Raw genomic sequence first — 27,097 nt, 5'->3', positions numbered from 1 at the left:
CCTTGCCAGGGACCACAATCCTTGCCAGGGACCACAATCATCCTATCTGCAAAGCCTGTGGCAGAAGGGTGAACACACACCAGAATTCACCATCGCGAGTCGAGAGATGCTCAACACACTTTTAATTAATTATTTTTCTTGAGACAGAGTCTCACTCTGCTGCGCAGGCTGGAGTGCAGTGGCGTGATCTTGGCTCACTGCAGCTTCTGCCTCCCAGGTTCAAGCGATTCTCCTGCCTCAGTCTCCCAAGTAGCTGGGATTACAGACACCTGCCACCGCCCCCAGCTAATTTTTGTAGTTTTAGTACAGAAGGGGTTTCGCCACATTGGCCAAGTTAGTTTTGAACTCCTGACCTCAGGTGATCCGCCTGAGGATCACTCCCAAAGTGCTTGGATTACAGGCGTGAGCCACCGCACCTGGCCTCAATGCACTTTTAGATGCCTCCCTGGCAGCAACCTTCAGAGAGACACATGGCTGTGTCCCCGCCCAGCTCCAGGGCTGAGTCACCTCAGACAAGTTAAGTACTCTCTTGGGGTCCCAGCTTCCTTGTTTTTGTTGTTGTTGTTTGAGACGAAGAATCTTGCTCTGTCGCCCAGGCTGGAGTGCAGTGGTGAGATCTCAGCTCACTGCAACCTCCACCTCCTGGGTTCAAGCAATTCTTGTGCCTCGGCCTCTCAAGTAGCTGGGATTATAGGTGTGTGCCACCACGCCCGGCTAATTTTTGTATTTTTAGTAGAGACGGGGTTTCACCATGTTGGCTAGGCTGGTCTCGAACTCCTGACCTCAAGTGATCTGCCCACCTCGACCTCCAAAAGTGCAGGGATTACAGGCGTGATCCACTGCACTCGGCCTTCTTTGTTTTCAAAACTAGGGCTGGGGGTGTTACATATTGTGGTCTCCAGGGCTTCCTCCTCTAAAACATCTGCTGAGCCTGAAGCGCATGCTTCTGAGTCCCCTCAGCCTTGTCAGATCCTGGCTTTCTGAGGATGAATTTTATTTTTGGAAGCAGCCAAAAGCCACTCTGTAGTGCCAACTTTGGTGACTAAAGTGGGTGACGGTGCGGGGCGATACCATGTTTGGTCACAAATGAGGGTAACTAGAAACTAGCAGGGCTTGTCTCTACTAAAAATACAAAAATTAGCCGGGTGTGGTGGCGGGCGCCTGTAGTCCCAGTTACTCGGGAGGCTGAGGCAGGAGAATCGCTTGAACCCAGGAGGTGGAGGTTGCAGTGAGCCAAGATCACCCCATTGCACTCCAGCCTGGGCGACAGAGTGAGACTCCGTCTCCAAAAAAAAAAAAAAAAAGAGTCCAAAAATAGATCCCATCTCTGACTGCCAATGTAGAGGTTCTCTGTCCTCATCACTTTTCTCTGGACCTGTTTCCCAGATTGTAAAATGGGGAAGGGAAGGAGTTGAACTCTCGTCCAGACCTAGAATGTCTTTCTCCAGTGCTCAAGTTAGGAGCGTCTTGCTCTTAAATAAAATACTTTAGGGATTTCCTTGTTCTTTAAGGGCCTTCCAGGTCCCCCATACCCTTGAATCACCACTCTCCCGGCAGGGGCTCTCACAATTTCATGGTGCTATGTGCGGATCTGACCACCAGGTGGCAGTACAGTCCTATCTTGGACTCCATCAGCCCTCATCAGCCTTTAGCAGCTCCACGATTACCAACAGCCCTCTCTGGGGCAGGCAACCAGGGTTAAATAGAGACGGAAATGAATAGACCTCGCCCCTGCTCAGCAGCAGGAGCTACTGAAGCTCACAAGAGTGGTCCATCAGAGAATCCCTCCAGGGCCCACCTCCTCTTCCCTTCAAGTCCTCAGTCCTACAACTTGGGGATCTCCAAACTCCTGTAGTCAGGTCTCACCTCCAGGCTCACTGCCTGCGCTCCCAGACCCAAGTCACAAGGATGAAAGTTAACGAGAGGAGCACACCACACGCACTTCTTGGCTGGGCAGCAGAGGGGGATGCTGGGAACTGGGCATCACTAGATTCTGCCTGGAAAGGGGGGTCTGGGCCAGCCGAGGGTCTGGGGCAACAGTAGCTGGAGGCTGCCGAGGCAGGGGAGGCCTGTGGCTTCCTGTGAAGAACAGAGGAGCCACTTCCTTTAAGCAGATGGCTGGGGGAGGGGTGGAAGATGAGGGAGCATAGGCTTCCTGGCTTAGCGGGCGGAAAAGGGGTCCCAGGAAGGCCCCATGAACAGGTCCAGAGCAGCCTTCTCTTTCCCTCTTTCTGGGTCTCCATGGAACAGACAGCTGAGACAAGGTAAGGTCACACTTGTGAAGTTCTGTGCCGTGAAGCCACAGAAAGGATAGTCAGGTTAGGGAACAGGCTCATCTGTAGAGGCCAGTAAAGAAATGGAGCCTTGGTTATTCCAAAAAGCAAGTCCAAGCACCTACCCCCCAGTATCCAAGTCCCAGTCCCCAGCCTCAGAACCCAGTCCCAGAAATCCAGCCCCCATTTCCCCGCTCCAAGCACCAGTTCCCAGAGAAACGTCCAGTGCCAAGTCAGAAGCTGGCAGAGGCCCACTGGTTCATTATCTGTGTGAACAAATGGCATGGGCCCACAGGAGAGATTTTTTTTTTTTTTTGAGACAGGGTCTTGCTCTGTCGCCCAGGCTGGAGTGCAGTAGCACAATCACGGCTCACTGCAGCCTTGACCTCCTGGGCTCAAGTGATCCTCCCACCTTAGCCTCCCAATTGGGACCACAGGCATGGACCACCACATCCAGCTAGTTTTTTTTTTTTTTTTTTTTTTTTAGATGGAGTTTCGCTCTGTCACCCAGGCTGGAGGGCAATGGTGCAATGGTGCGATCTCGGCTCACTGCAACCTCCACCTCCCGGGTTCAAGCGAGTCTCCTGCCTCAGCCTCCCGAGTAGCTGGGATTACTGGTGCGTGCCACCATGCCCGGCTAATATTTGTATGTTTAGTAGCTACGGGGTTTCGCCATGTTGGCCAGGCTGGTCTTGAACTCCTGACTTTAGGTGATCTGCCTGCCTCAGCCTGACCACAAATTCTTGATGAACCAGTAGAGCTTGCCTCCCAGCACCCACAGCTACCAGGGCACAGCGTGGTTTAACTGCTCCAGGTTCTGATCTGCAGAAGGGGTAGGGGTCTTCACTCAGCCATGATCACTATCCTTGGAACCCACCAAACTAAGCCCATTTCTCCTTCAGTCTTTCACACTTGGGCCAAAGACACCTCCAGGCATGCCGGTGCCTAGGCCAGACACCTTCCCAAAGGCTTTTCCCCCTAACTTTTCAGTGATGGCTCCTTCTGCACTCTTTGGTCTTCACTCAAATGTCACCTCCTCAGAGAAGCCCTCCCTGACCACCTACTTTAAAATTGCCTCCTTGTTTCTCTCTACCATAGTAATTGCCAACTTGTCTGCCCCTTGGAATCATCTGAGAGCTTAAAATTGTATGGATACCTGTGTCTCACTCACGGTGTGGGAACAGCTTGCTCTCCATGTCACTCTTTTAATTTTCTGTATAAAGCCAGTAAAGACATAGAGTCTTGGTGACTCCAAGAAGTAGGCCCGGGTACCCAACCCCAAGTACCCAAGTCCCAGTCCTCAGCCTCAGAGCCCAGCTCCAAACACCCAGGTCCAAAGTTTTACATATATTAACTCTTTTCATCCTTACAATAATTCTCTCGGGTGTTCTTAGGATCCGCATTTTACAGATGAAGAGATCAAGGTACAGAGAGGTTAAATAATTTCCCTAAGGCAAGCAGCTAGCAAGTGACAGGACAAGGATTTGAACCCAGAGAGTCTGCCTCTGTAGAACAGTGCCTGGCATCTAGAGGGGCTCAATAAATAATTGTCCAATGAATGAATGACTTAATCTTAACTCCCTCTGCCTCACCCACCCCCATATTCAATCCATCAACCCACCTGCCTGAGGATTGTATCTTCTAATTATTTATTGAATCTGTTCATGTCCCACCCACAGTAGCCTCCCTCTCATCTAGCTTACTACCTTCCATGCTGGAGGGCACCTCCTAGGTGTCCCTGTGTCCACTCTTACTCCCGTATCCACTCCTGTCTATTCTCCACACAGAGGTAGGGAGATTTTAAAACACTAAGTACCCAGTGACTGCCCACAGCACTTAGAAGAAAATTCTATTTCCTTACTATGGCCTCCAAGGTCTTAAATAATTCGCTCCCGTAAACCTCCAGAGCCTCATCTCACTCAGTTTCCTTTCCCTTATTTTCCAGCCTGCTAGCCTCATTGCCTTTGCACAAGCTCTTCCCTCTGCCTGGAACACTTGTTGCTTCAGGAGTCGGCTCGATGTAACTTCTACAGGGACCTGAGCCCCAATCCAAGTTAGACACCTGGTTATTGCAGCAGCCTGTATCTCACCGTCCCAGAATGAATCATGACTGCAATGAAAACGATGGCATGAGCATTTGTTACCATCAGGCTTCCGCCCTAGATTATGAGCTCCCTGAGGACAAGCAGAGGGTTCATCTCTCTTTATAGCTAGAACCCAGCACAGCGCCTGGCACTCAGGAGGCACCCAATTACTTTGGCTGACTGGATAGACATACATACAGACGGACGGATAAATGGCTGGAAGAGGAGTGATTGAAAAAATACATTTTAAAATGCCCTGGCTGCATTTCTTAGAGCAGTTATAATGCGCGCAATTCACACGGGAATTATTTTCACCCTTTGAGGGTCCGCACCCACCGGTGCCCCAGTCGCCTTTCCCAGGCAAGGCCACTGGGCGGGGCATCCGGGGCCGTCGGAGTGACGTAACAGCGGGGCGCGTCCGGAGCCGGCCCTCACTTCCTGATTGGCAAGCGCGGTGGCCACACCCACCGCCGCAGCCGTCGGAGTAGAGATGGTGGCAGCGATGGGCGGAGGGGGAGGCCCGGCGTTCGCGCAGACGGCGGTGGGGCGGTGGGGCGGTGGGGCGGTGGGGCGGCCGCGCCGGCTTCAGGGCGTCGGGGTCTCCCGGGGCACGTTCATGAAGCCGGCGAGGTGGAGACTGGGCGCCGAGCGGTTTGCGAGGCTCGCGCGGTTCCGGGGGGCAGTGGGACGGCGGAGGGCTCGTGCGCTGCGGCTGGACCGCTCCCCGCGGCGGGCCGGGCACAGGGTGTGACCGGGCCTCCGGGCGCTCGCTGCAGCGCGTCTATTTCGGTGCCTCTGACCTCAGCGAGGAAAGTCCCAGAAACACAGCCCCACCCTCCCTCTCACCCTCCTTGACACGCTCGCCTCTTCCCCACCACCCCAAACTCAGACCCAGAAGAACTGCGGGAAACTAGGCGCCTGCAGACCTGGTTTCTTAGCCCTAACTCTGTGTGACCCAGAACAGGAGTCCATGACTTGTGGACGTTAGTCCGCTTATCTGTAAAATGAAGCGACACCTGCGTTAGATGATGCGAGGTATGAAGTACCCTGCACTAGGGGTGCTGGTGCTAGGTGCTCCAGGGTTACTAGTTTCTTCCTGATCCTGCCGCTGATGTGCTCTGTGTCTTAGAGCAATTTCACTTAACCTCCGGGGCCAGGCTTCCCCCATCCTAGGATGAGTCAATTGCCTTTCTAGTCCCAGGGTCCTGGGGGCCAGGCCTTCTTGAATCATGGAGTCCGTGGCAAGCTAAGAGCAGGCACCGCCTCCTGGTGTCGGGGCTCTTGCCTTTCTGAGCCCTCACCCTCTTCTTTCCCCATGCTCCCCACCCCCCAGCTCAGGGCCCTCCAGCCTTGTCTCTTGACTTCTCTAAGGTTCCTCTGACAAGTGAGTTTTCTCATCCTCCCTGATGGCTCGAATGAGGTTGTGCCTAAGATGGCTGGGCTCCCCAGAGGCTCTTTGAGGTTTCAGTCTGCTGAGACCTTAAAGGGCATCCCAGGACAACCTTCCTGCATGTTCCTACCAAGGTTGAGTCACTCCCCTGCACAAAACCATTCAGAGGCTCCGTATGGCCCTCAGGCCACTTGGCAAGACCCACAGGCCACAATACCAAGGTCTCTCTTCTCAGCCAAGCCCCCAGGCAGGCTATAGCCAGACTCAACTTTCAGCTGTCTTTCCTCTCTCCCAGTGACACAAACCTCTGCTGGGATCACTTCTTCCCTGAGCCATCCCCTCACACCTTTTACCTGGCTAACTCCTCATCCCTGATCATCATGGAAGAGGATGGATCCTGACCCCTAAGGTGGGTCTCAGTTCAGCTGAGGACTGGTGAGTGACTGCTGACCTCACTCAGCGCAGCCACTCCCCTCCTTGCCTCCTTCCCTCTGCCCACGTTGAACTTTCAGCTGCTTGAAAATACATGTCTCTCTCGCCTCTGAGCCTTTGCACCTGTTTTTCTCTCAGACCTAAACACTCTTCCCTTCCCTATTTAACTTGTATTTATCCTTCAAAAAAAAAAAATCTCAGTTTAGGGCCAGGTGTGGTGGCTCATGCCTGTAATCCCAGCATTTTGGGAAGCCAAAGTGGGCGGATCACCTGAGGTCAGGAGTTCAAGACCAGCCTGGCCAACATGGCAAAACCCCATCTGTACTAAAAATAGCAAAAATTAGCCGAGCATGGTGGCATGCACCTGTAGTCCCAGCTACTCAGGAGGCTGAGGCAGGAGAATCGCTGGAACCCAGGAGGCAGAGGTTGCAGTGAGCCGAGATTGCACTACTGCACTCCAGCCTGGGCGACAGAGCGAGACTCCGTCTCAAAAAAAAAAAAAAAAAAAAAAAAAAAAAAAAATCAGTTTAGAAGTCAGTTTCTCTATGGGTTGGAGGCTGGAGTTCATGACCAGCCTCTGCAATATAGAACACATACTGTCTTGGCAGTATTTAATGTCTCCCCATTAGAATGTAAGTTATCGGTTGGCAGTGGTGGTGGCTCACACCTGTAATCCCAGCACTTTGGGAGGCCAAGGTGAGATGATTGCTTGAGGCTAGGAGTTCAAGACCACCCCGAGCAACATAGCAAGACCCCATTTCTACTAAAAAAAAATTTTTTTTTTTTGAGATGGAGTTTCACTCTTGTTGCCCAGGCTGGAGTGCAATGGCGTGGTCTCATCTCACTGCAACCTCCACCTCCCGGGTTCAAGCAATTCTTCTGCCTCAGCCTCCCAAGTAGCTGGGATTACAGGCATGCACCACCATGCCTGGCTAATTTTGTATTTTTTTTAGTAGAGATGGGGTTTCTCCATGTTGGTCAGGCTGGTCTCGAACTCCTGACCTCAGGTGATCCACCCGCCTCAGCCTCCTGAAGTGCTGGGACTACAGGCATGAGCCACCATGCCTGGCCTCTACTAAAAATTTTTTAAAATTAGCTGAGCATACCTGGCATGTACCTGTAGTTCCAGCTAATCGGGAGGCTGAGGCATGAGCATCACTTCTGCATAGGAGGTTGAGGCTGCAGTTAAGCTTAAGATCAAGCCATTGCACTCCAGCCTGGGCAACAGAGCAAGACCCTGTCTAAAAAAAAAAAGAGAAGAGAAGAGAAGGGAGGGAAGGGGAGGGGGCGGAGAGGAGACCGAGTGTGGTGGCTCACACCTGTAATCCCAACACTTTGGGAGGCCGAGGCGGGTGGATCACCTGAGGTCAGGAGTTCAAGACCAGCCTGGCCAACATGGCAAAACCCCATCTTTACTAAAAAAATACAAAACTTAGCCAGTCGTGGTGGTGGGCGCCTGTAATCCCAGCTACTTGGGAGGCTGAGGCAGGAGAATCATTTGAACCTGGGAGACGGAGGTTGCAGTGAGCCGAGATCGCGCCATTGCACTTCAGCCTGGGCAACAAGAGGGAAACTCCGTCTCAAAAAAAAAAAAAAAAAAAAAAAAAGATGTAAGTTACAGGAGAGTAAAGATGCCTTGTCACTATATCTCCTAATGACAATGATGGCCACAGGCCCTGGCCCAAAATGGAATCTCAGTAGGAGTTTATTGAATTAATGAGTGAGTGAATCTCTACCCAGTGCTTGTCCAGTCCCTGCTTACATACCTCCAGAGGCAGGGAGCTCACTACTCTTGAAGCAGCCCACTCCGTTTGCAATTAGAAGACCTCTAATTCCTGCCCACCCCCAACCATTGCCGAAGAGATTCCCTGGAGCTGAGGCCCAGAGAGAGTGATTACCTTGCCTGAGGTAGTTGGTGCAGAGCCAAGACCTACTCAACTGTCCTGAGGGCATGTGCAAGCTCACCTAATCCTGAAAGAGCCCCTAGGTGTCAGCACTGGCCAGATCCCCCACAGCCTGTACCCATTTGTAGGCCTGGGACTTGAGCCGCCATCGCAGCCCATTTCCCCTTTGCTCAGGAGCAGCCAACCAGCATCTGCTGAAGACAGGGATAGCAGGTCCCCAGTCTGGGAGCGGGGAAGCTAAGAAGGAAGCACTTTCAGGTAGCACTGGACTTCTGTTGCCCCTTTCAACCCCCATGCCAGCCCTATAAAGCAGGACTTGTCGTTCCCATTTTACAGATGCGCAAACTGAGGTGCTAGTTACCTAAGATAACACAGCAAGATAGTGGCAAAGCCAGGCCTAACTTCAAAGCCTGACCTCTTTCCTCTGCCCCTCAGCTTGGTGCCTCTTGTCTATCTGCCCTACTTCCAGGCCAATTCTTTCCTAAGCCTCATGAGGTCCTGAAGTGTCCTGTGGCTTTTGTTCCCCAAGCTGGGTCCCGCCCACAGTGAGGACTCACCAGCTGTGCTTTGGCAGCAGCTAAGAGCTGGCTGAATAACAGGAGTCATCCCTTCCTTCTGTATTTAGTCACTCCCTAAAACTGCAGGGGACCCCGACCAAATTAGGTAGTGGCCAAGGAGGTGTTTTGGAGAGGCCAAGCCCCTGAAACTAGGCCAGGCCACCTATTTGCTGTATCACTTAGGTCTGTTTCTTTCATGGAGCCTCAACTTACCATCTATAAAGGGGGTGAATTATCCTTTCTCAGGGCCTCTGTGTGCAAGGATTCAGGAAAGCTGCTCTCCTCTCTGCCAGGCCACCTCACCTTTGCACCTTCACCTTGAGGAACAGATCCCCACCCCACCCCCCCCGGCCAGGGTCCTTTTGTTGGCAGAACTCCAGCATAAACTGCACATAACCTGATTGTTAATGGGGGCCACAGATCCGGGGTTGGGGGCCCAGCTCCCCAGCTTCAGCCCTTCCTGGCCTTGGTTCCTGCTGGGGAACAGGCTCTGTCATCATGTCTGCTTCCTCTTCTTTCTGTGGCCTTTGCAGAGCCATTTCCCAGGGGGCTCTGCCTCTCCTGCCTCCTGTCTCCTCCTCTGTCTTCCCACCCTTCTTCCTCACACAGTGTTTATCCGCGCCTACTCTGGGCCTGGCACTTGGCTCATAGAGCTGAATAAGCTCAGGGCCTGTCCTTGCAAAGCTCACAGTTTGATGGGGGAAAATGGACAAGGAAACCAAGTTACAATTTATTCACCCATCCCAAATCCTATTGCCCTCCCTGCCGCTACCCTCACCCCTGCAGTCTGCACTCCACGCAGTAGCCTGAGTGATCCTGTTAAAACGGAGGTCAGAACATGTCACTCTTCTGCTCAACCCCCTCGCCCCCCCCATGGCTCCTGGTGTCAGAGGAAAAGCCAATGTCCTTGCTGTGACCTACAAGGCCCTGCGTGATCTACCTCACTGCCTCCCACTCTCTGCTCTGATCACTCCCTTCCAGCTGCACTGGCCGCCTTGCTGTTTTTCAGCATGCCAGGCGTGCTCCTGCCTCAGGCCTCTGCATTTGCCCTTGGCCCTGCCAGGCATGTCTTCCCCCAGGTAGCCACGTGGTCTCCCATCCTTCACTCAGGTATCTCCCCCTCATCCAGGGGACTTCCCTGGCTGCCTATCTAAATATTACCCCTTAGTTGCCTTCTGCTCTTTTACCTGCTTTATTTTTTTTCTTAGCCACTACCAAATAACATGTAATTATTGATTTTCTTTTTCCTGCAAAGGCATAAATCCCATGAGGTCTCCTGAGGTTCCCCACCCCCAAAAACAAACAAAAAAAGGACAGAAGAGAGAGAAAGAAAAAGAATGCCAGAAAAATTCTGGAAAAAAAAAAAGGCAACACTCACTGACTACTGTTAGATAACAATATTTAAAGCCTCAAAAATTAAAACAACTTGGGGCTTGATGGGGTGGCTCACGCCTGTAATCCCAGCACTTTCGGAGGCCAAGGCGAGTGGATCACTTGCGGTCAGGAGTTCAAGACCAGACTGGCCAACATGGTGAAACCCCATCTCTACTAAAAATACAAAAATTAAGAGCCGGGCATGGTGGCTCACGCCTGTAATCCCAGCACTTTGGGAGGCCGAGGCAGGCGGATCACCTGAGGTCAGGAGTTCGAGACCAGCCTGGCCAATGTGGTGAAACCCTGTCTCTACTAAAAATACAAAAATTACCTGGGTGTGGTGGTGCATGCCTATAGTCCCAGCTACTTGGTAGACGGAGGCAGAGAACTGCTTGAACCCGGGAGTTGGAGGTTGCAGTGACCCAAGATCATGCCACTGCACTCCAGCCTGGGCAACAGAGTGAGACTCCATCTTAAAAAAAAAAAAAATACAAAAATTAGCCAAATTAGCCTGGCCTGGTGGCAGGCGCCTATAGTCCCAGCTACTCAGGAGGTTGAGGCAGGAGAATCACTTGAACCCAGGAGGCAGAGGTTGCAGTGAGCCGAGATCATGCCACTGCACTCCAGCGTCCTAGACGATGAAAAGAGATTCCATCTCAAAAAAATAAAATAAGAATAAATAAATAATTAAGTCTGGGCATGCTGGCTCATGCCTGTAATCCCTGCACTTTGGGAGGCCGAGGCGAGTGGATCACTTGAGGTCAGGAGTTCGAGACAAGCCTGGCCAACATGGTGAAACCCCTTCTCTACTAAAAATATAAAAATTAGCCAGACGTGATGGTGGGTGCCTATAATCCTAGCCACTTGGGAGGCTGAGGCAGGAGGATTGCTTGAACCCAGGAGGCAGAGGTTGCAGTGAGCCGAGATCAAACCACTGCACTCCAGCCTGGGCGACAGAGCGAGACTCGGTCTCAAAACAAAACAAAACAAAAAATAATAATTAAAACCACTTGGTTTGGTTCAGGAAGAGACAAACAGACCAATGGACTAGAATAGAAAGTCCAGAAATAGACCTAATTGCACGCGAGAATTTAGTATTTGATAAAGGTGTCCTCTCAAAGTGGAAAATGGACTCTTTAATAAATGGTGTTGGGACACCTAGGTAGCCAACTAGGAAAAAAAAAATTAGATCCGTGCCTCACACTGAGCACCAGGATGAGCTCCCAAGGGATAAAATATTTAAATGTTTGAAAAATCAAAATAAAACCGTAAAGGCACTAGAGGAAAACATGGGAGAATGTATAATCTCATAGTGGAGAAAGTTTAACCATGACTCAAAAATCAAAAAGCTGTAAAAAGAAAAGATTGATAAAGTCAACTATATAAAAATCAAAAACTTCTGCATGGAAAAACACTATAAATCAACGCATAAGACAAATGACAATCTGGGGGAAATATTTACAACTCTAATCACAGACAAGGGAACATCTCGCTTATTTAGAAAGAATTCCAGGAAATTGATTAATCTTATAGAAATAGAGGCCTAGGCCGGGCGCGGTGGCTCACGCCTGTAATCCCAGCAATTTGGGAGGCCAAGGTGGGCAGATCACCTGAGGTCGGGAGTTCAAGACCAGCCTGACCAACATGGAGAAACCCCGTCTCTACTAAAAATACAAAAAAATTAGCTGGGCATGGTGGCGCCTGCCTGTAATCCGAGTTACTCAGGAGGCTGAGGCAGGAGAATCGCTTGAACCTGGGAGGCGGAGGTTGCAGTGAGCCGAGATCACGCCATTGCACTCCAGCCTGGGCAACAAGAGCGAAACTCCATCTCAAAAAAAAAGAAAAAAGAAAAAAAGAAAGAAATAGAGGCCTAGCATATGAACTGACGGTTCCCAGAAAAGTAAATATAAGTGATTCTTAAACACATAAAAAGAAGCTCAAACTCAAAAGAAATGCAAACCAGAAAAACTAGACTAGAATATTGCTACAGTTTGAACATTACGCCGCGAAAAGCAGGTGCTGGGAACTTAACCCCATACAACAGTGTTGGGAGGTTGGGCCTAAGGAGAGGTGTTTAGGTCATGAGGGTTTCACCCTCATGAATGGATTGGTGGTGCTGTTATAGCAGGAGTGGGATTATTATTCTGGGAACAGATTCATTATAAAAGGGCAAGTTCAGTTCCCTTTTCTTCTCTGTCACCCTCTCTTTGCTCTTCCACCATGGGATGACACAGCAAGAGGGCCCAAGCCAGATGTGGGCCCCATGATCCTGGAATTCCCAGCCTCCAAAACTGTGAGCCAATACACTTCTGTTTATGATTAATTATCCATTCTGTGGGATTTTATTATAGCAGCACAAAATGGACTAAGATACGATGTCTTATCAGTCTGGCCAAAAAAACCCCAAAAGCTGAATAACATATTCTGTGAGCATTTCTATGAGGAAATAGTACTACTCTCACACATGTTCTCACACATGACTCTCACATGTGTGAATATAAATTGGTAAAAGGGCATTTTGGCAAAATCTATCAAAATACCTTCAGATAACCTATTTCTGGGAATTCATCTTCGGATAGACTTGCATGAGTAATAAATGATGTATGTATAAAGTTATTCTCTGCAGCACTGTTTCCATAGCCAAAGACTGGAAACAACCCAACTGTCGATTAGTAAGGGGCTAGACTAGGTAGAGCACAGTCCATCCACAAAATGGAATACTATATGGCTACGAAAAAGAATCAGGGAGATCTGTGTGTTCTAGTAGGGAAAGCTTTATAAAGGATACTGAGGGCCGGGTGCAGTGGTTCATGCCTGTAATCCTAGCACTTTGGGAGGCTGAGGCAGGCGGATCACCTGAGGTCGGGAGTTTGAGACCAGCGTGACCAACAGGGAGAAACCCCATCTCTACTAAAAATACAAATTTAGCCAGGTGTAGTGGTGCATGCCTGTAATCCCAGCTACTCAGGAGGCTGAGGCAGAAGAATCGCTTGAACCCAGGAGGTGGAGGTTGCAGTGAGCCAAGGTTGCACCATTGCACTCCAGCCTGGGCAACAAGAGTGAAACTCCATCTCAAAATGAAATAAAATAAAGGATACTAAGTTTGGCCATGCACGGTGGCTCACACCTGAAATCCCAGCACTTTGGGAGGCCGAGGCGGGTGGATCACTTGAGGCCAGGAGTTCAAGACCAGGAGTTCAAGACCAGCCTGTCCAAAATGGTGAAACCCTTCTCTACTAAAAATACAAAAATTAGCCAGGTGTGGTGGTGTGCACGTCTGTAGTCCCAGCTACTTGGGAGAATTGCTTGAACCTGGGAGGCAGAGTTTGCAGTGAGCTGAGATCGTGCCACTGCACTCCAGCCTGGTGACAGAGCGAGACTACTTCTCAAAAATAAATAAATAAACAAATAAATAATAAATAAATAAATAAACCATATTACTCTCCTGCTCAGAAACCTTCCAGTGGTTTCCCATCACATTGATAATAAAACCAAATATCCTTCCTGTAGCGGAGAAGGCCCACCAGCGTGAGCACATCCTTGCTGAACAGCTCTCAGTTCATCTCCCCTCGCTCACTGTCTTCCAGCCACACCGGCCCCCAGGCAGACTCTCGCCTTGGGACCTTTGCACTCACAGTTCCCTCACTTTATTCAGGTCACTGCTAAATGTCACCTCTGCAAAGAGGCCTTCTTTCACCTAAAAAATACAAAAATAAAAAAAAATTCTTTTACACAGCCCTGACCCCTGATTGCCAAGACGTTCTAGCCCCTTCCTTTCTTTGCTTCTCTTCAAAGCGAGTCTCACCAGTGATGTCACACATCTGTTGATTGTCTCCTCCACTTCTAAGTTCCAAGAGGGGAGGGGACTGGAGCTGCCTTGTTCACAGCCCTCTCCTCAGGCCCTAGCACAGGGCCTGGCACATTCAGTAAATATTTGTTGAATGAATGGATGAAATGTGACACCAGATGTAAAGTGCTTAGCATGGTCCTGGCTCACAGCAGGGGTTTGATAAATGTGACTTCCTTCTCCTTCCCTGGGACACCTTCACACTCCTCTCACCCCTGCCCCTCCAGGAATACCTCCCATGTGACCACATGGGCTCCTTGTCTCAGGGTGCCCTCCCTCTCTTCTTTCCACGTGGCCTTTTCATTTGGCTGTTGACGGGCGGGGGGGATATGACATGACTTCTCCATTACACAATGGTTCCCCTGTGCAGGAACTATGGGAACCATGGTTCCTACTCACTCAGCCTCCCTCCTTTTCCAAGGCTCACCCTATGAAGCTGCCTACAGGGCCCACACGTATCATTTCCTGACTCTGATAAGGAATTCCCCCTCTGGTTTGTTCTGTTTCTCTGTCAGTTCCTTCTGCAGTCTAACCGAAATCATTCTTGCTGCAATAAAGAATGAGTTTCCTTTATTTCCCTAGGGCTTCTGAGAAAGCAGCTGGGCTAATTTTTTCCTGTAATATTTTGGTAGTTGTTAAGGGTTTGGAGGTGAACCCTCCCCACGGAGTCTGCAGTCTCAATTCTCAGGCAGAGCAACTCTTGTCAGCTGCTTGGCAGGAAAGGTTTCTCTTTATTCATCTTAGAGGATTTCAGCACACCCTGCAGGGCAGCCAGCTCCCCAGGACTGTGGCCCATCAGGTGGTTGGGAGCCAGGGACAAGATGGTGGACATGGTTGTGGGCATGACTGAACCCAGATGAGAGGTGAGGTTGGCACCTTAACCTTGACCACCTCACTCCCACCTCTCCCTTCTTAATTTATCCATCCATTTAGTCAGTCAGCTCAGAATAAGAATCAGAAGCACCAACTATGTGCTAGGCACCCAGCTCTTATCTTCTCTAAGTCTTGCTTTCTCTGTCTATAAAATGAGATAATAGTACTTACATGGTCATTGTGAAGATTAAATGAGCTCATGTATATAAAACCCTTAGCATATCCTTGGCTCATTAAAAATATTCAATAAACATGTTATTTTTTTTTTTCAAAGGAGTTGATTTAATTTCAGGTGATACAAAGTTTAGGGTAGAACAAGGACCAAAGAGCAGACTCTGGCAAGATTCTGAGCTGGTTTTACTTTTAAATTCACAGTTATGGTAGGAATGACTTAGTGAAAACAACTAAAGAGATGATGAGCCACTGTAAGATTTTTTTTTTTTTTTTACAAAAGTTTATTCTTAAATGTACAACAGCTCCAAGATAACACTTTATTCCAGCTATACGGGGCAAAAGATGTTATGGCAGGGAATAGAGAAGTTTAAATACGGATGAAATAAAGGGTCACCATCTCCTCAGGCACAAGGAACAGCTTGCTTTTCGCCAGATTTCTTAATTCCACCTGTGGCCAAGGGCCCCTTCCCCGCGGCCTTCGCTTTTAGCTCCTCGAGTTTCTTCTGCTCCTCTTTTTGTTTCTGCTTGAAAGCCTTGTCTTCCTCGTCCATCTCCTTGGCCTGCTTCTTGGGCTGTTTCGGTGGCTTCTTCTTGCCACCTTCGTGGCCGGACATGGCACCTGCCGCCCCTTCCGCAGACCCTGCCACCAGAAACCTAAACATGTTATTTTTCAATTCAACCAGCAAATACTGAGAGATGCCATCTCTGGGCCAGGCCCTCAAGAGTCCAGTGGGAAAGGCAGATCTGGAAACATATATTTATGAATAAAGTGCAGGCCAAGCTCACACCTGTAATCCTAATACATTGAGAGGCCAAGGTGGGAGGATTGCTTGAAGCCAGGAGTTCAAGGCCAGCCTGGGCAGCACAGCAAGACCCTGTCTGTACAAAAAAATTAAAAATTAGCCGCATATGGTTGTGCACAGCTGTAGTCTTAGCTACTCAGGAGACTGAGGCAGGAAGATCATCTGAACTCAGAGGTTTGAGGCTGCAGTGAGCTAGGATCATGCCATTACGCTCCAGCTTGGGCGACAGAGTAAGACCTTGTCTCTTAAAAAAAAAAAGTCCAAACAACAGAGTATTTGGGGGACAAGGTGGGGCTGGGAGCCCACCTGCCTGCTGCTCGGCTGGGTGACCTTAGGGAAGGCACACCCTCTTTAGTTCTGCCAGGGAGAATGCAGGAGTTGAGATGGGGACTCAGGCCTAAAAATAAGGCAGGGCAGGACTAAAGACTTGGAGTTGAGCCAGCTAGCCTGCTTTCCAATCTTGCCTCTGCTGAATTCTCCCGGTATGACCTTGGGCAAGCCTCCTGCCACTCTGAAACTCAGTTTCCTCCTCTGAATAGTGGGGTTGGGGATGATCTCATCAGGTGGCAGGGTGGCCGTGAGGATGCAGAAGAGGGCAGATGGCAAAGTCAAAGGTGCTATGCCCTGTGTGGGAGCCAGCCCTGGCCCACCTGAGGATGAGGAGGAAGTTCTCCCTGTGCAGCTCCAGGTACTCCTTGCTGCTATGGCTCCTCCCATGCCAGTGGCAGGAGTGATCCAAGAGGCTGAGGGTCAGGTCCTTGCTGTGTTCCATGAAGTCTGGCCTGGGGTTCCCTGGCACGCAGTGGTGTACCTAGGCTGAAGAGTTTCAGTTTCATGCAGAACACATCTTGGGGTGGGGGCACAGGGGCACCCAGCATATTACATCTGCTCCCACCCTGAGCCAGAGGGGCTGAGTGCCTGGTGTGGGGCCTTGGCCTGCTCATTGAGTCACTATATTCTTGGACTTCTCTGGACCTCAGTTTCCCCATTTGTAGAATCGGGATAATGGGCCGGGAGCAGTGGCTCACGCCTGTAATCCCAGCACTTTGGGAGGCTGAGGCAGGCAGATCACTTGAGGTCAGGAGCTTGAGACCAGCCTGGCCAACATGGTGAAACCCCATATCTACTAAAAATACAAAAATTACCTGGGTGTGGTGGCCGGCACCTGTAATCCCAGCTGCTCGGGAGGCTGAGGCAGGAGAATCACTTGAATCCGGGAGGTGGAGGTTGCAGTGAGCCAAGATTGTGCCCGCCACTGTACTCCATCCTGGGAGACAGAGTGAGACTCTGTCTTAAAAATACGTGTGTGTGTGTGTGTGTGTGTGTGTGTGTGTGTGTGTGTGTGTGTAGACAATGAAATTGACCGTACGGGAGAGTCTTTCAAAATTAACCTGGTGCTAGAGACCACCTTTCTCTAGCTTGTGGTCCACTCCATCCTGCCCTCCTCCTTCTCCCGGCCCTGGTGATGTTAAGCAAGGGGGTCTCTCCTTCGGACTGGGGGTTCCCGAAAACACAGCTTTATATCTTTCCTCAAACAGGGGGCAGGGCTATGTCTCTTCCGTGAGAGCTCCAAAGGTAGTATTGTCTAACAGTGACGGTGTACTTACATGTCAGGCACTTCACATGTGTCAGCCCAATTCATCACATCACATGGGTTTTTACTAATATACCCATATTACAGATGAGGAGACTGAGACTTAAAGAGTTTATGCAGCTTGTTCAAGGTCATCCAGACAGTAGATGGAGGAGTCAGGATTTGTCCAGAGGCCCATTTCAGGGTTATGGAGAGGAGGCAATGTTAGTCAATTCAGACAGACCCTGGGCCACGCCCCAGCTGTTTCACTCATGCACTAGCTGCGTAACCTTGGGAAAGCCTCTGAAATTCTCTGGCCTCAGTTTCTCTATCCATATAACAGAGTGATTCTACCACAGGGAGAGAATGTGTGTAAATGTCTAGACAGGATATGGCACACAGTAAGTGCTCAATAAGTGGTGTTTCCTTCTCCCTTCCTTCTTTTGCTCCTCTGGTAGGAACTCCAGGCCTGAGCATATGCCAAGCCAAACTGGCCTCCTGTCTCAGAGGGACAATTTTGTGTTCCCTCCTCTCATACTGATAAGGCTTAGGGGACCACTGAGAGCCCCCACTCCCAGATTGCCTTGACTCCCAGGGAGCTTGAGTCACCTGGCCGGTGAGGGGACAGTCTCCAGGCTGATGGGGACACAGCCCAATTCGGGGGGAGGTCCTGGCCCCACACCTGACACTGACTGAGGAACCACAGCATTGTGCCACCTCATTGCGCAGCTGGGGCGTGGCTGGGGCGTGTGGATACAGGAGGCACAGAGTTGGTGCTCTGGAAGGGAGCGTGTCAGGGGTTCTAGCCTATGTCAAGTTAGCCCCTGGGGCCACTCACTCTAGGGAAGGTGGAATGTGTTGTGGTGTGAACAGCAGCTGGTGAAGTTGGCATAGTTCCGCTGGTGCTTGTCAAAGCGAGAGCCCAGTAAGTAGCTAAAGCAGTGCCTGGTGTAATGGATAGGAATTGTCCCCTGGGGGGTTGATGTCACCCAGAACTGGCACTAATCTCTTCCCTCCATCACCCACTGACACCCTTTCTAGTATCAAGCACTCCTGGCCCCCAAGGTCCTCAGATCTCACAAGTTACGGGAGGTCCAGGAGCCACTGAGACAAAGCCCAACAGAGCGCCCATACTCAGGAAATTAACAAGCCTCCCATCAAAGCAGGAGAGATGGAAGTAGACTGCAAAGACACCCCTGGAAGCAGAAGGTTCTGTGCCCAGGAATGCTCCCTACTTCATCTGGGAGTCCCACTCTTGGGAGAGAGCTCCGGGGGAGGGAAGGGAGACTTCCCTGCAGGCAGAGGGATGGCCAGGTTGACCTGGTCCTTACCTGGAAGCCCCAAAGCTCAAGCAGGATGCTCTGCATTGGGTGCCCTGGGACTGGCTGCTCCTTAGTGCCACTGACTTGGAAATAAACAGCAGACATCCCCAAGGCCATGATCCCTGGTGTCACATTTTGGCACATGCAGAAGGACTGCTGTGGCGGAGCTGGAGGGCTCAGTCCTGACCTGCCCTGGTGGACAGGAGAAAGCAGAAGACTAGACTCCCAGGGACCCCCAGGATCCTTGACCTGCAGACTCAGGGCTGAAGGGGGCTCCCTGGGCAGCCTCCAAGGGCATACACCTTTCTCACTCACCTCTGAAATATACCAGCCTACCCTGGAAGATTCCAGCGTCTCACTGAAATACTCTAGGTCCTCTCCCACTCCCCATAATATGCCTGAAATAACCCAGCCTTTGTGAAACTCTTTAGCCCCCACTGTGCAATACTCTGATCGTCGCGGAAGTTCTCCAGCCCCTATGGCAAACCTCCACTCCACTCTTAAAGTCCAGCCTCAACTTGAAATTTTTGCTCCAACTTTAAATATTCCAATCCCCTTGAAATATTCCAGCACCCATTCGAATACTCTGCACTCCACTTTAATACCCCAGCCCTCACTCCCACCCCCAGTGAAAATCGCCATTCCATCACCTCCAGCCCCTCTATAATGCTCTGTCCTGCCCTGAGGGAAGGATGGACTCCACGGCCTCCCCAGAGTGCACTACGGTGGTCCTCACTCTGGTCCCTGCTTGTTCTCATGTCCTCGTAGGCCTCAGATGGCTCCTGGACGTCAGTGTAGGGATGCGTCAGCACTCCTGGTGGGAGGGGGCTGTGTGATGACCCCACTGGCTTCCTCACTGCACTCCAGGCAGGTAGAGTCCACCCACTCTAGAAACCCTCCTCCCACCCCCAGAATAAGAGTCTCACTGACCGTAAATATGGCAGCAGTCACTGAAAGTTGGGGGCACCCAGGCCCTGGGGGATGGCACACTCCTGACCTGCCAGGTTGACTTGTTGTGAGCCCCCTGGGGTGGGTCAGCCCCAAGAGGTAGTCCCACAGGCTCAGCCGCCGTACTTGGCCCAGGTTCCCCATCGTGCTGCACTAAGATACCTGTCCTGTGGCTCCATGGGTCTGCTAGGCCAAGGCCAAGCTGCCTCCAGCCAAGGAGCACAGTGACCCAGCACAGGCTCTGGGTCATCAGGGAGCAGAGTGGGGCCCCTGGGACAGGCCAGTTGGCCTGCCTGCCCTGCTTTGTGTTTGGCAAAGCACCACCCCCTGGGATACTCCCTTATGTGAGAGTGAGCGTAGGCAGAGCCTAGCAATCTGTCTATAAAGTGGCTGCATGGATGAGGGACATTATTATGGGTTCTACAGCTGAAGGGAACTGGGTTCCAAGCCCAACTCTGCTGTGTTACCTTAGGTAAGTCACTTTCCCTCTCTGAGCTACAGTGGCTTCACCTTTGAAGCAGAGATAATAACTGTACCCTTGTCTTGCCCCTTACCAGTTTGCTTCAAGGCTCAAGTAAGATATTGGTTATAGGATTTATCTGTCATTTGACAAATATGTATTGAGCACCTACTATGTGCCAGGCCTACTCTAGATCTAGACATGTGGTATTTAGTATCTCTCTCTGCATAAAGCAGCTTGTGATGATGAAGAGACTAGAATCTGGGGTGGTGATGGGAGAGATTCCAAAACTCCTCATCAGACCTCCCTCCCTGGCTCCTGACAGCTTTTTGTATACCCGCTATGTACAAGATACTTTCGAAGCCATCATTTCCTTTACTCCTCATCCTGATAATCAGATATTACTGTTCTAGTTTTATCGGTGTGGAAACTAAAGCCCAGAGTTGTTAAGACATTTGCCTAAGATCACACAGCCAGTAACTTGTGGGTCCTAAATTTGAGCCACGCTGCCTTTAGCAAGAATGGAGGTGAGAGTATCACCACAGCATGTCCACACTGTGGGGTGATAAGCTGGGTCTGTTCCTGGGGGGTCCTGGCAGGGGCCTCAGCCAGTATCGTCCCTGTCCCCTAGGAGTCCCCAATGCCATAGAGGACTAGAGGACCAGACTCCAAGAAAGACATTTGAAGGTTAAACAGGCTTCTTGGGGCATCTTGTCCCACCTTATCCTTGTACAAAAAAGGAAACAGGGGCCCAGAGAGAGGCAGACACTTGGTCAAGTTCGCACAACCTGTCAGAGGCCTTGCTTCTTATCCAGGCAGAGATGCCTGCCCGAAAAAGGCACATCGTGCCACAGGACCCCTGGTGGTGCAGAGAAGAAGTGCTCAGGGCTTAGAGAAGGGAGAAAATACCGCTCTCTCGGAGGCTAAGCCTGGGCAAAAAAGGGGACAGAGAGGCTGCCAGGTGGGAGGACCTTTGGGCAAAGGCTTGGTGGTGGGACTTGTGGTCGGGGTCACCATGCAGGTGCATTCCCTGCCTGTGCATGAGGTCAGTCCGTGTGAGTCCCCTCTGCATGCTCACCTTGGTACCTCCCGAGACCAGCTATTCTGCTGCTGAGCTATTCCCACGGCTGTAGTTCTTCCTGCTCCTGAGCTGAAATCCTCCCTGCTCGAGTCTCCACCCGCTGGTCAGAGTTCTGCTGTTTGGGTTCCCCAAAAATGAGTGTCATGTCTGGCACTAGAGCCACTGAGTGGGAGGCTGAATCAGAGATTTCACCTGTGGGCAACCTGTTTGTCCTTCAGAATCCTCTGAGACGTCATCCCTCTCCACTAGGCAAAGTTTTGTCCTTCCTTCATTCCTGTTTTCTCAGTCGGTCTTTATTAAGCACCTAGTGGGTGCCAGACGCTGCAAGATGCTGGTTGAACTATGCTAAGTTAAAGCGACGAAACCTAGTGGAGCCCAAAGTCAAGGAAGGAGAGAGAAAAACACATCAACTAATATGCACAATGATAGTTGGGTCTTTTTACCAAAGAAATCAACCAAGGTTTATGCATTACATTTGGTGGTGATGTCTCTTTGAAGTCCCTTATAATACAAAACAGTCACCCTCTACTACTGACTTTCTTATGGCAATATTTATTTATTTATTTATTTATTTATTTTTGAGACAGAGTCTTGCTCTGTCGCCCAGGCTGGAGTGCAGTGATTTCGGCTCACTGCAACATCCGCCTCCCGGGTTCAAGCGATTTTCCTGCCTCAGCCTCCCGAGTAGCTGGGATTACAGGTACCCGCCACCATGCCTGGCTAATCTTTTGTATTTTTAGTAGAGATGGGGTTTCACCATGTTGGCCAGGCTGGTCTCAAACTCCTGACCTCTGTGATCCACCTGCCTCCACCTCCCAAAGTGCTAGGATTACAGACATGAACCACCACACCCGGCCAAAAAAAAAGAATTATTCATAGTGATGGTATATACATACATAGGAAGCACGGTTATGGGGCGTCCACCAGATCTCTTCATTGAAAAAGAGTGATCCTCTTTGCAAATACCAAATCATCTGTGTGGGGCTCCTTTCACACTGTGAGAACATGGTCTTCTTTTTTTTTTTTTTTTTTTTTTTTTTTTTGAGACGGAGTCTCGCTCTGTGGCCCAGGCAGGAGTGCAGTGGCGCAATCTCGGCTCACTGCAAGCTCCGCCTCCAGGGTTCACGCCATTCTCCTGCCTCAGCCTCCCGAGTAGCTGGGACTACAGGCGCCCACCATCACGCCCGGCTAATTTTTTTTGTATTTTTAGTAGAGACGGGGTTTCACCGTGTTAGCCAGGATGGTCTCGATCTCCTGACCTCGTGATCCGCCCGCCTCGGCCTCCCAAAGTGCTGGGATTACAAGCGTGAGCCACCGCGCCCGGCCGAGAACATGGTCTTCTTTAAAACTTTTCACCTAGGGGTTTTAGCATCTGTGATGGATTGAATTTTGTCTTTCCCAAATTCATATGTTGGATTCCTAACCCCTAATGTGACTATACTTGGAGACGAGGCCTTTCTGGAAGTAATTAAGGTTAAATGAAATCATACGGGTAGGACCCCGATCTGATAGGGTTAGTGTCCTTATAAAAAGGGACACCAGGCTTGGCATGGTGTCTCACCCCTGTTATCCCAGCACTTTGGGAGGCAGGAGGTTCACTTGAGCCCAGGAGTTCCAGACCAGCCTGGGCAACATGCTGAGACTCTGTCTCTACAAAAAAATGAACAGTTAGCCGGGTGTAGTTGTACATTCCTATGGTTCTAGCTACTCGGGAGGCTGAGGTGGGAGGATCGCTATAGCCCAAGAGGTCAAGGCTGCAGTGAGCTGTGATCATATCACTGTACTCCAGCCTGGGTGACAGAGCGAGACACAGTCTTAAATTTAAAAAAATTAAGAGACATCAAAGAGCTTGCTCTCTCTCTGCCATGCGAGGACACAGTGAGAAGGTGGCCATTGCAAGTCAGGGAGACAGCCCTCACCAGGAACTGACCCTGCTGGACATCACTGATGATTCTTTATTTTTATTTATTTATTTATTTTTTGAGACAGAGTCTTGTTCTGTCACTCAGGCTGAAGTGCGGTGGCATGATCTTGGCTCACTGCAACCTTCACCTCCCGGGTTCAAGCAATTCTCCAGCCCCAACCTCCTGAGTAGCTGGGACTACAGGTGCATGCTACAACGTCCCACTAATTTTTGTATTTTTAGTAGAGACAGGGTTTTGCCACATTGGCCAGGCCGGTCTTGAACTCCTGACCTCAAGTGATCCGCCTGCCTTGGCCTCCCAAAGTGCTGGGACTACAGGTGGTGAGACACCACCATCAATCAACCATTGATGATTCCTTAAATCAGTGATGTAATTGGGATTACAAAATGGAGTTTTTCCTGGCTGGGCACGGTGGCTCATGCCTGCAATCCCAGCCCTTTGGGAGGCTGAGGCAGGTGGATCACTTGAGACCAGCAGTATGAGACTAACCTGGCCAACATGGTGAAACCCATCTCTACTAAAAATACAAAAATTAGCCAGGCATAGTGGCGGGCACCTGTAGTCCCAGCTACTTAGGAGGCTGAAGCATGAGAATCACTTAAACCTGGGGTTGGGGGAGGGGCGTGGAGGTTGCAGTTAGCTAAGATCGCACCACTGCGCTCCAGCCTGGGTGAAAGAGTGAGACTCCATCTCAAAAAATAAAAATAAAAATTTTTTAAATGGAGTTTTTCCAGTTCTCACATTCCCTCTATATTTATTAGTGGGCATTTTCTTTCTTTCTTTCTTTTTCTTATAGTTCTGGAGCCTGGGAAGTCCAAGATCAAGGTGCTGGCAAGGTAGGTTTTATTTTGAGGCCTCTTCTCTTGTCCTGTAGGCAGCCACCATCTTGCTGTGTGCTCACATCTAGCTGGCATTTTTCTTGTTTTCTTTTTCTTTATGAGACAGAGTTTTGTTCTTGTTGCCCAGGCTGGAGTGCAGTGGTACAATCTCGACTCACAGCAACCTCTGCCTTCCAGGTTCAAGTGATTCTCCTACCTCAGCCTCCTGAGTAGCTGGGATTATGGGCGCCCACCACCACACCTGGCTAATTTTTGTACTTTTAGTAGAGACGTGGTTTCGCCATGTTGGCCAGGCTGGTCTCGAACTCCTGACTTCTGGTTGATCTGCCCACCGCAACCTCCCAAAGTGCAGGGATTACAGGCATAAACCACCACGCCCGGTTTTTTTTTTTTTTTTTTGAGATGGAGTTTTGCTCTTGTTGCCCAGACTGGAGTGCAGTTCCTCAATCTCGGCTCACTGCAACCTCTGCCTCCCAGATTCAAGCAATTCTTCTGCCTCAGCCTCTGGAGTAGCTGGGATTACAGGCACCTGCCACCATTCCCGGCTAATTTTTTGTATTTTTAGTAGAGACAGGGTTTCACCATGTTGGCCAGGCTGATCTTGAACTCCTGACTTCAGGTGATCCACCCGCCTCAGCCTCCCAGAGTGCTGGGATTACAGGCATGAGCCACCACACCCAGCTTTAGCTGGCATTTTTCTACAAAGAGGATCTTCAACTAGAAATGAACCACAGTTTCTCCTTAAAAAGGCAGGATAAATGCTTAATTCTCTAAGGAAAGGGTTTTGTTTTTTCTTTTTAAACAAGAGATTCTAGAATGTGTTTGTATGCTAAGAGGATAACTCTGTGGAAGGAAAAGCTGGATGGTACGAGAGATGGAGTTACAGAGGTGTAACATCCCCAGAAGGTGAGAGGATTTAGAATTCAGGTGGGGAAGGAGGAGAAGGGGTAGGATGTTGGAAGACAAAAGAAAAAGTGTGAGCTGCTCATCTGGGCAGAGTGATAGGGCCTGCTTAGTGAGAAATGCACCAGAGGATTGCTGGGCCTGGTTAGTGTCCTATTGAGGCTGGGAGTTGCGACCCTGTCTGCATAGCAAGCAGTTTTCTCCTCCACATTTAGAAGGTAAGGGAGGTCGGGCGCAGTGGCTCACGCCTATAATCCCAACACTTTGGGAGGCCGAGGCAGGTGGATCACCTAAGGTTGGGACTTCGAGACCAGCCTGACCAACATGGAGAAACCCTGTCTCTACTAAAAATACAAAATTACTGCACTCCAGCCTGGGCGACAGAGTGAGACTCCATCTCAAAAAAAAAAAAAATACAAAATTAGGCAGGCGTGGTGGCGCATGCCTGTAATCCCAGCTACTCGGGAGGCTGAGGCAGGAGAATCGCTTGAATCTGGGAGGAGGAGATTGCGGTGAGCTGAGATCGTGCCATTGCACTCCAGCCTAGGCAACAAGAGCGAAACTCTGTCTCAAAAAAAAAAAAAAAAAAAAAAGAAGGTAATGGTTAGATTCCTGCAGGCCTGGGTTTTCCAGGCAGGTACACTGGAGGGAGAGGGAGGGAGAGGGAGGCCGGACAGTGCCAGGTCTTTGCAACGAATGACCATAAGGACTGACAGCAGAATCTAGGCTGGTTGAAAGCAGGAGTGAGAAGAGGAGGAGAGTGATGGCTAGCTGGGAAATGGATGAGAGAGGTCTCATTGGGCTTGCTGGGCTTTGATTTTTGATTTTGGTATCAGTTTTTAGAATTGTTTTATTTATTTATTTAGAGACAGGGTCTTGCTCTGTCACCCAGCCTAGAGTGCAGTGGTACAACCATGGCTCACTGCAGCCTCGAACTCCTGGGCTGCCCAGGCTGGTCTCGAACTCCTGGCTTCAAGTGATCCTCCTGTCTCAGCCTCCCAAAGTTCTGGGATTACAGGTGTGAGCCACCATACCTGACTTAGAATTGTTTTCAAGGAGCTTGTGAATACATGGGCTGAAAGGATAGGAAACTGTGGTCAGAGAGTTGAGGTTTAATTGAATGAATGAATGAATGAATGAATGATAGTGAACACTTATGTGGTATTTACTATGTGCCAAACACTCCTCTAACAGCTCACTGATTTCTCTCAAGACTTCTGTGAGGTGAGGTCTACTAAATTTCCATTTTACATATGAGGAAACTGAGGTACAGAAAGGTGAAATAACTTGGGCAGGGCGCGGTGGCCCACACCTATAATCCCAGCACTTTGGGAGGCCAAGGCAGGTGGATCAGTTGAGGTCAGGAGTTTGAGACCAGCCTGGCCAACAGAGCGAAACCCTGTCTCTACTAAAAATACAAAAATTAGCTGGGTGTGGTGGCTCACGCCTGTAATCCCAGACACTCAAGAGGCTGAGGCAGGAGAATCGCTTGAACCTGGGAGTTACAGTGAGCCAAGATCACATCACTGCACTCCAGCCTGGGAGACAGAGCAAGACTCTGTCTAAAAAAAAAAAAAAAAAAAAAAGGTGAAATAACTTGTCCAAGGTCAGAGTTGGTCTGCAAACCAGGCAGCCTGGGCCCAGAGTCTGTGTTCCTAATCAAGGTTATTCTGAAAGGATGAATGAGGGCATAGAATCCACTTTGCTCGTCCTAAGAAGTGCCAGCTGTCTCCTGACCTCAGATTGGGTCAGAGCCCTAATCTGGTTTAGAGAGGTCCAGAGACAAAAAACAATGAACACAGAAATATATAATTCCAGATTGTGATAGCCATAGAGGAGACAAACTGGATGCTGAGACCGAGAATAAGGAGACCTTCTTAGATGTGGCAGTCAGGGGAGGCTTCCCTGAGGAGACGGCACTTCAATTGAAGAATAAAAAGGAAGCAGTACTGTGAAGAGCAAGAAGAAGAGCATCCTAGGAAGAGGGAACACCATGTAAAAAGACTGTGAGACAAAAATTCAGTGTATTCTAGGAACTGAAAAAGATCCAAATGTGGGTAAAGGGAAAGATGGCTAAAGCTGGGACTGGAGAGGAGGCAGGGGCCAAGCACACAGGGCCTCAGAGGACAAGACAAAGCTGCTGGATTTTATTATTCTTTATTATTATGGTATCGTATGTATTGTATTTTTATTTTTCCAAGCAAAATGAAAGGTAAGGCACTGGGAGATTTTAAGCAAGGGACTAATGTGGCCCAACACATATTTTAAAAAGTAGAAGCAATTTTTTTTTTTGAGACGGAGTCTTGCTTTGTCGCCCAGGCTGAAGTCCAGTGCC

At 50.0% G+C, this 27,097-nt stretch overlaps 1 long non-coding RNA gene and 1 pseudogene across 1 annotated transcript, besides 8 other annotated features; one reads left to right on the top strand and one right to left on the bottom strand.

Moving 5' to 3' along the window:
* Positions 1,572-2,087: an enhancer, noted in NCBI's record as "H3K27ac-H3K4me1 hESC enhancer chr1:27989365-27989880 (GRCh37/hg19 assembly coordinates)". NCBI's record gives its function as "activates a minimal SCP1, AML or CMV promoter by ChIP-STARR-seq in primed H9 embryonic stem cells {active_cell/tissue: H9 hESC(primed)}" and the evidence as "EXISTENCE:reporter gene assay evidence [ECO:0000049][PMID:30033119]".
* Positions 2,088-2,603: an enhancer, noted in NCBI's record as "H3K27ac-H3K4me1 hESC enhancer chr1:27988849-27989364 (GRCh37/hg19 assembly coordinates)". NCBI's record gives its function as "activates a minimal SCP1, AML or CMV promoter by ChIP-STARR-seq in primed H9 embryonic stem cells {active_cell/tissue: H9 hESC(primed)}" and the evidence as "EXISTENCE:reporter gene assay evidence [ECO:0000049][PMID:30033119]".
* Positions 2,157-2,366: an enhancer, noted in NCBI's record as "active region_566". NCBI's record gives its function as "activates an Ori minimal core promoter by ATAC-STARR-seq in GM12878 lymphoblastoid cells {active_cell/tissue: GM12878}" and the evidence as "EXISTENCE:reporter gene assay evidence [ECO:0000049][PMID:35858748]".
* LINC02574 (long intergenic non-protein coding RNA 2574) lies at positions 2,219-4,613 on the top strand. The gene is made up of 2 exons (NR_151722.1): positions 2,219-2,264; positions 4,219-4,613. It is a non-coding gene; the product is annotated as a long intergenic non-protein coding RNA 2574 (long non-coding RNA).
* Positions 4,856-5,095: a silencer, noted in NCBI's record as "silent region_527". NCBI's record gives its function as "represses an Ori minimal core promoter by ATAC-STARR-seq in GM12878 lymphoblastoid cells {active_cell/tissue: GM12878}" and the evidence as "EXISTENCE:reporter gene assay evidence [ECO:0000049][PMID:35858748]".
* Positions 5,205-5,705: an enhancer, noted in NCBI's record as "H3K4me1 hESC enhancer chr1:27985747-27986247 (GRCh37/hg19 assembly coordinates)". NCBI's record gives its function as "activates a minimal SCP1, AML or CMV promoter by ChIP-STARR-seq in naive H9 embryonic stem cells {active_cell/tissue: H9 hESC(naive)}" and the evidence as "EXISTENCE:reporter gene assay evidence [ECO:0000049][PMID:30033119]".
* Positions 10,028-10,430: a silencer, noted in NCBI's record as "fragment chr1:27981022-27981424 (GRCh37/hg19 assembly coordinates)". NCBI's record gives its function as "represses an EF-1alpha promoter that drives an FKBP-Casp9 reporter gene in an ReSE screen in phorbol 12-myristate 13-acetate-treated (for megakaryocytic differentiation) K562 erythroleukemia cells {active_cell/tissue: K562(+PMA)}" and the evidence as "EXISTENCE:reporter gene assay evidence [ECO:0000049][PMID:32094911]".
* Positions 12,823-13,789: an enhancer, noted in NCBI's record as "H3K27ac hESC enhancer chr1:27977663-27978629 (GRCh37/hg19 assembly coordinates)". NCBI's record gives its function as "activates a minimal SCP1, AML or CMV promoter by ChIP-STARR-seq in naive H9 embryonic stem cells {active_cell/tissue: H9 hESC(naive)}" and the evidence as "EXISTENCE:reporter gene assay evidence [ECO:0000049][PMID:30033119]".
* Positions 15,001-15,562, bottom strand: LOC729973 (uncharacterized; annotated as a pseudogene).
* Positions 20,660-20,759: an enhancer, noted in NCBI's record as "active region_565". NCBI's record gives its function as "activates an Ori minimal core promoter by ATAC-STARR-seq in GM12878 lymphoblastoid cells {active_cell/tissue: GM12878}" and the evidence as "EXISTENCE:reporter gene assay evidence [ECO:0000049][PMID:35858748]".

Source organism: Homo sapiens, chromosome 1, assembly GCF_000001405.40.
Source record: "Homo sapiens chromosome 1, GRCh38.p14 Primary Assembly".
In the NCBI taxonomy this organism is placed as follows: Eukaryota; Metazoa; Chordata; class Mammalia; order Primates; family Hominidae; genus Homo; species Homo sapiens.
The sequence above is the reverse complement of the archived record's forward strand: the minus strand, read 5'-3'. Positions and strand labels throughout refer to the sequence as shown.